General features: G+C 38.2%; 1 protein-coding gene across 8 annotated transcripts, besides 1 other annotated feature; it reads left to right on the top strand.

The window, feature by feature from the left end:
- The first annotated feature begins 653 nt into the window (after positions 1-653).
- RNASE9 (ribonuclease A family member 9 (inactive)) lies at positions 654-5608 on the top strand. Of its 8 annotated transcripts, none has more exons than NM_001110361.1 (5): positions 770-827; positions 1330-1364; positions 2068-2119; positions 3051-3086; positions 4618-5608. In NM_001110361.1, coding segments are annotated over exons 4-5 (633 nt in total). In that variant the 5' UTR covers positions 770-827; positions 1330-1364; positions 2068-2119; positions 3051-3085; the 3' UTR covers positions 5250-5608. The 8 variants fall into 8 exon arrangements, with proteins under 8 accessions (NP_001276039.2, NP_001103826.2, NP_001103827.2 ...); NM_001110359.1 differs by having other exon boundaries at positions 3051-3161; NM_001289110.2 differs by lacking the exon at positions 3051-3086 and having other exon boundaries at positions 654-827.
- Positions 1634-2213: an enhancer, noted in NCBI's record as "OCT4-NANOG hESC enhancer chr14:21027647-21028226 (GRCh37/hg19 assembly coordinates)". NCBI's record gives its function as "activates a minimal SCP1, AML or CMV promoter by ChIP-STARR-seq in naive H9 embryonic stem cells {active_cell/tissue: H9 hESC(naive)}" and the evidence as "EXISTENCE:reporter gene assay evidence [ECO:0000049][PMID:30033119]".
- Positions 5609-6577: the final 969 nt, after the last annotated feature.

Genomic DNA, 6577 nt, shown 5'->3' with positions numbered 1-6577 from the left:
TTATAATCTGTCTTTTCTCAACCACTCAAACTAAGGCACAGATTTTCCTGATGCTGATGAAAAATGAGTTTACTGATATAAACATGTGGGAGTCTGGAAAATTATCACTTAATATTTAAGAACATGGCCAATCCAGATCTTAAAACTTGACTTCTTCAATGATATTTTGTTATTTTTTTGAATTTGTAAAATTGACAATTTTAAAGATTAGAATAAAAAATTAACCAGAAATATATCATTCAGAAATAACAACTTATTATTATTACATTTTTTCTTTTCTTTCCCTTGTAATCTATATTTCTGTTAATTGGGAACATGCTGTAGATGGAGTGTTTTGATTTTCCCCCAGCTAAACAGCAAAGCACGTTTATTACTTTCGGATTTGGTCTCCATTCCTTTTTTGTGTAATAGGGAACAGCCCTTCTATCGACAATTGGAATTCTGTTGGGTTTTAATTGTGTAGTTTTGCCTTTACTTCTCAAAGAGGACATGTGTTTCAGGTAGCCAATCAGAGTGCCCCACATCCCTGGATTTATTCATGTGACAGAAGCACAGCCAATCAGAAAAGTTATTTTCCATGTTGAGTGAAGGTGGCAGAGAATGGCACTTCCTACTGTGATCCTAAATATAAGGCTACAAAGGGGGCAGTGATTGACTCTGTCATTACATGGAGAGGCCCCTACATGAGAATAAAGTTAGTGTACAAAGGAGAGTAGAGTGGGAGAGAGTAAAAACAAGAGTCTAGTCAAGAATTTGATTTCTTTCTCCTGCTCTACCTCTTGGACTTCCAACTTCTGTGAGTCAACATAGTGCCTCTTGCATTTAAGGTAATTTGTTTGGAATTTTTCTCACTGTCAACCAGAGAGTCCTAGTACTATAATATTATATCACAAAATATTTCATATCTCTAAAGTTTTTAATGCTTTTTTTCTATTCTCCTTGTTTCTCAGATGATCTAAAACTTTATTGATTAATATATTTGTAAATTCTGAAAAATAGCCCATTCTAAGAATATACAATTCTATGAATATAAAATACTGTCTCAATAAATATTAGCTCTTATAATAATAATTATTATTGCAATGTGTATTGTCATTTCTATAAACACATCAGACTCATTTTAACCTTTCCCTTTCCCACATTTTTGGATATTTATATTTTAAAATTTCAATTTTTTTCCCTTTTAAGTAAAATTTGCTGTTTGTCTTTCAATATAAATTATTGCAACTTAGAATTCTAGCTATTGAAATGCTAGAGAAAAGTATCAGCTATTCTTTTTATTGTATTTCTCAAATTTTTCAAAAAAATTATAACAATTTCTTTCTGCAGAAACATCTCATCACACTCTTATCAGCATTGAGTTTGTAAGTTATTATAATTATTGCCAATTTAAAAGATTTAATTTAGTTTTTCCTTCTGTGATTGAGGCTATATAATTATTATATGATCATGATTTATTGATGCTTTATTATATAAGGTGTTCAAACAAATCTTTTTAAAAATTAATTTAATTTAAATCAGTTTTAAATTTAAATTTTAATCTTAAACTTAAATTTAAAAATTTAAAATACCACTTAATAATCCTTCTGAAACATATTGGTTCACCTACAAGCCCATAACTCATTCCAATCTTTTCTTTTTACTATAAACTTCTTATGTGTGTGGTTAAATATAGAGTTCTGATCTGGGGCTCAGAACTTGCATTTTAGGAGGAGAGACTAGATAGACAACCCCTCCAAGGCCTTTCTCAGTCTGCAATTCTAAGTTACAATAAACCTTCCAAGCAAGTTTAAAAGCAGGGAAGAAAAGCAGGGACTTGAACAGGTATTTGTGCACCCATGTTCATAGCAACATGATTCACAATAGCCAAAAGGAGGAAGCAATTCATCCCATTCTTCTTCCAAGAACATTTGCTGAAAGGGCCAAACGTTTTCCCTACTGTTTTAGGATGTTTTCTTTTTCACAAGTTCATTTTAATGCATATTAAGAAATTCCTTGTTCAACTTTAGTGAGCTAAGAATCACCTTTAAATTTGTTTAAAATGCAAATTTCTGGATTCATCCACAGAAATTTCAATTAGTGAGAACTGAGGAAAAACCAAGAAGCCTGCATTCCACAGGTAGGCCAGAGGCGTTTCTGCTGTGTGAGATTACCAGGCAAAAACTTCAGAAACACTGAGTGATCATGTTTCAACACTATTTATTCTGTGTTCTCCCTCCCTCCCTCCCTCACTGCTTCCCTGTCTCTCTCTCTCTCTGTCTCTCTTTCTCTCTGTCTCTCTCTCCTCTGTCTCTCTTTCTTCCATTTACTGTTAATCCCCATTTCTACCACCTGTCCCGGGCACCCTATAATCTACTTTGTGTTTGTCTCCGCAGTGAACATTTGAATAAGAAGAGGAATGAGTGTAGATTGCTTTATGAGATATCAAAATGTTTTATAAAATGATAATAAGTACAGGTACAGTGTAGTGCACCTGTAGGCCCAGCTACTTGATAGGCCGTGGGAGGATTCCTTGAACCCCGGAGTTCTGAGTCAGCCGAGGCAACACTGTGAGACCATGACTCTTAAAAAAAAAAACAGTAAAATGATAATAAGTAAAACAGTATATTATTGGCATATCAAAACACAATAAACTGTTCAGAAACAGAATTATTAAATATAGAAACTAGCTTTTAAAATTAGGGATGAGAGAATAGATTTTTTCCCAAATAATTGATGATGAGATTATGTATAAACCATGTGAAAAAAGACCACACTAACTTCTTACTATCTATTAAAATAAATTCCAGATGGTGAAAGATTTCTAAAAATCTATAAAAGTAACAAAATACAGTATTTAAAAAATTCACATACTTTGAGATGAGAAAGGATTTTGAGAAGAATGAAACCAAAAGTTGAATTCATAAATCAAGAATTAAGAAGGTTGCAGATTTAAAAAACAAAAGAGTATTCTGGACAGGCCCTGTGCATGTTCTCGGGAAGTAGAAAGGGCAGGGCCACAGCTGCCTGAATTCTGCTTTTCACACGTGTACTGTCCATGTTCTCTCCAGATCAAGATGTTGCAGAGGCTCCGCGTTCTTGTGAGAGTATGTTCCGAGCTCTCTGACCTGTCACCATGGGATCACTCTTTTGAAGAGACTTCCTGGAGGACACTGATGACAGTGTGAAAGCAGGGATGGGAGGAAAAGCAGGGAGGGGAGGGACAGTGTGGCACATGGCCGCCCCAGAGTGCCCATTCTCACATCGCCATTTTAGGCAACTTTTTCTTTTCTTTCCCATTCTCTGCACTCCTATGCTCAACTTTCCTGTCTCTACTTTCTGATGTGTTCCCCAACACCCACCTTTCTTTAATTCCATCATTCTCTAACCTTTCTACACACATATATACAAACTTAGTATCCAGCCTAGAACAGGAGGCTGTCCATCTCCATCACTGATAGATCAAGGTCTCCAGGTAATGACTGTTAGAGAATCACTCAGGTTGCCACCAAGTAGGACTTCTTTTACAACGAGCCTGGTAAGGTAAGAAAACTCAGGAGGTTGCTTCTGCAATTAAATAATTGGTTCTTCATGGAGCATGGACCAATTTGTCAAAGCACTCTAGGGGCTCAAATTCCGTTTTAGCACTGGCCATTTCAGTAGTCATTGTGTTTGACAGCCTAGAGAGAGAGATACAGTCTAGCCTTAAGAAGGGAAACCAGACTGATAGAGGCCATAGAATAGCAGCTAAGGACAGATGTGTGGAATTTAGACAAAAATAGGCTTGAACCAGGAGTCTGCCGGATCTAATGTGAGATTTTAAGCAACTTCCCTTCACGGAGAGATGTTAATAACTTTACACTTCTTTTTGCAACTTTCATTGTTATAATAACAACAATGCTAAAAATAATATATTTATTATAGGGTTGTTTGGATGATGGTGATAATGTACTTAGAGTGCTTAGTCTAGTGCTTGGCACTTAACTCCTCATTATGCTAGCTATGACTGTGTATCATTGTTTTTACTTTAGGGTGACTTCAAGAATGTATTTATCCCAGCTGCTCAAACTTGAACCTTCCTTGACCCCTTCCCCAAGGGCATCTATGGTCAAATAAGGGCAAGAGGAGAAAGAAAGACATGGTTAAGGAATTTTTCTTATCAAAGTGGAATGTTCGAAAGGGGAGGGTGGCTCTTTTCAGAGCAAGTTCTCAACTCCTGGAAAGGGAAAAGATGCATTTATTTCAGACGAAAGGAGCATGTGAGCCTCCTCTCTGCACCCTCCCTTTCTCCCCACTGCTGTCTTGATTTCCTTTCTCCTTCCCTCTCTCCTTAATCTCTCTCTTGCTCCATTTCTTCCTTGTTTCCTTTTCTTCCTCCTTACCTTTATTTCTCTCCCTTTCTCATTCTCCTTCCTTTCACCTTTTCTTCTCTTACCACAGCTCTAGACTGACTGTAGGCCTAGTAAGGTCATTTTTGTCAATAATTTAGAAGTATTCAGATCGATTATGAGTTGGTAATTTAAAAATGGTCCAAAATCTTAGAGCCCAGAACAGCAACATGTGGCATAACTGTGCCCCACACAGGAAATGGAAGCAAGCACATTATCACAATAGAACATATCCCGTTATCTCTTTTAGTGTCTGCAGGAAAAATGATGAGAACTCTCATCACCACACACCCACTGCCCCTGCTTCTATTGCCGCAGCAGCTGCTGCAGCTGGTGCAGTTTCAAGAGGTGGATACAGATTTTGATTTCCCAGAAGAAGATAAAAAAGAAGAATTTGAAGAGTGTTTGGAAAAATTTTTTAGTACAGGGCCCGCCAGACCACCTACCAAAGAAAAAGTCAAAAGACGTGTCCTTATTGAACCTGGAATGCCACTAAATCATATAGAGTACTGTAACCATGAAATCATGGGAAAAAATGTTTACTACAAACACCGTTGGGTGGCAGAACATTACTTCCTTCTTATGCAATATGACGAGCTCCAAAAAATCTGTTACAACAGATTTGTGCCATGTAAGAATGGAATTAGGAAATGTAACAGGAGCAAAGGTCTTGTAGAAGGAGTGTATTGTAATTTAACAGAAGCATTTGAAATACCAGCGTGTAAATACGAATCACTTTATAGGAAGGGCTACGTCCTTATCACTTGTTCATGGCAAAATGAAATGCAAAAACGTATTCCTCATACTATAAATGATCTCGTGGAGCCACCTGAACACAGAAGTTTCCTCAGTGAGGATGGTGTCTTTGTCATATCGCCCTAGCAGAGCGTTCTCTGAGAGCTTAGGGTGGGAGGAATATTTCTCTCCATACTGATCCTTATAGATCAAAGTTGAGAATGGTAATTTTGCTTCCATTCACTTTAATCACCCACCTTCCTTTCTTCCTTTCCCAACACCTCACAAAAGCACCTTAGGCTAGGTTCACAGACGGTGCTCTGAGATGTGGTCTCATGCAGGTCCCCTAAGTTAGCATGCCTTGAATGTGTTACGGATACAGATGCCTGCAGTGGAAGGATGACCAGCACCAAGAGGAAAAGGAAATGGTTGCCTGAAGTGTGCTCCAAAGACACATCCATGTGATTCTCTAGTTCAGCAGAAAGAATAAAAATTGCTTCAATCTAGTGCAGTGGCTCTGGTATGGTGACGTGGGGTTTCTCAGTTTGGAACTTTCTTCCTTGTGACACAATTTGGCACCAACGGAACTCAAATCCCTTTCAGACATTTATGCAATACATCTACCCAGGGCTATGTGTGTGGCTATTTCACTTGTCTTATTCTTTCTTACAGGGCAATACACAGATCCAGATGTGGGCAGCTCAGGATAACACCTTTCTATATTTAGGAAAGCAAACTCCCCAAAGGACATTTCAGTCGTCCAATGTTATTTGTGTGAATTCCCACATCTTTAATTTAATTTAGCTTAGATGTTTGTGTTTACAAAATTACAAACAATTTCTCACTTTTGGGAATAGTCACAATTATCTACAATTATTTTCCTCACTTTCTAGTAGATGTGGCTGCCTCTGAGAATACATCACCTCAGAGAGAGGCTGGAGGATCAGTCTGATGAAAGAAACCTCTCTGTCCAGTTTAAGTAACAATTATCTCCTTTTCTTCAAACTTCTTTTTTTTTTTTGAGATGGAGTTTCGCTCTTGTTGCCCAGGCTGGAGTGCAATGGCGCGATCTTGGCTCATTGCAACTCCGCCTCCCAGGTTCAAGCGATTCTCCTGCCTCAGCCTCCCTAGTAGCTGGGATTACAGGCATGTGCCACCACGCCTGGTTAATTTTGTATTTTTAGTAGAGACGGGGTTTCTTCATGTTAGTCAGGCTGGTCTCGAACTCCCGACTTCAGGTGATACGCCCACCTTGGCCTCCCAAAGTGCTGGGATTACAGGCTTGAGCCACTGCGCCCGGCCTTCTTCAAACTTCTTAACATCTTGTTATTATTACTGCTTAAAACTTTCTGAAACTGGGGTAAAGAGTAGTAATGGGGGATGGTAGTGAGGCATCCATTGCTCTTTGCATGCTTTACCCCAGTCCAGTCTGTTAGTCTCCTCCCATTCCTTACCCCTGTCTTTATACTCAGAGC

This window comes from Homo sapiens, chromosome 14, assembly GCF_000001405.40.
Source record: "Homo sapiens chromosome 14, GRCh38.p14 Primary Assembly".
Lineage (NCBI taxonomy): Eukaryota > Metazoa > Chordata > Mammalia > Primates > Hominidae > Homo > Homo sapiens.
Note: the sequence above shows the minus strand (reverse complement) of the source record. Positions and strands in the feature narration are given on the sequence as shown.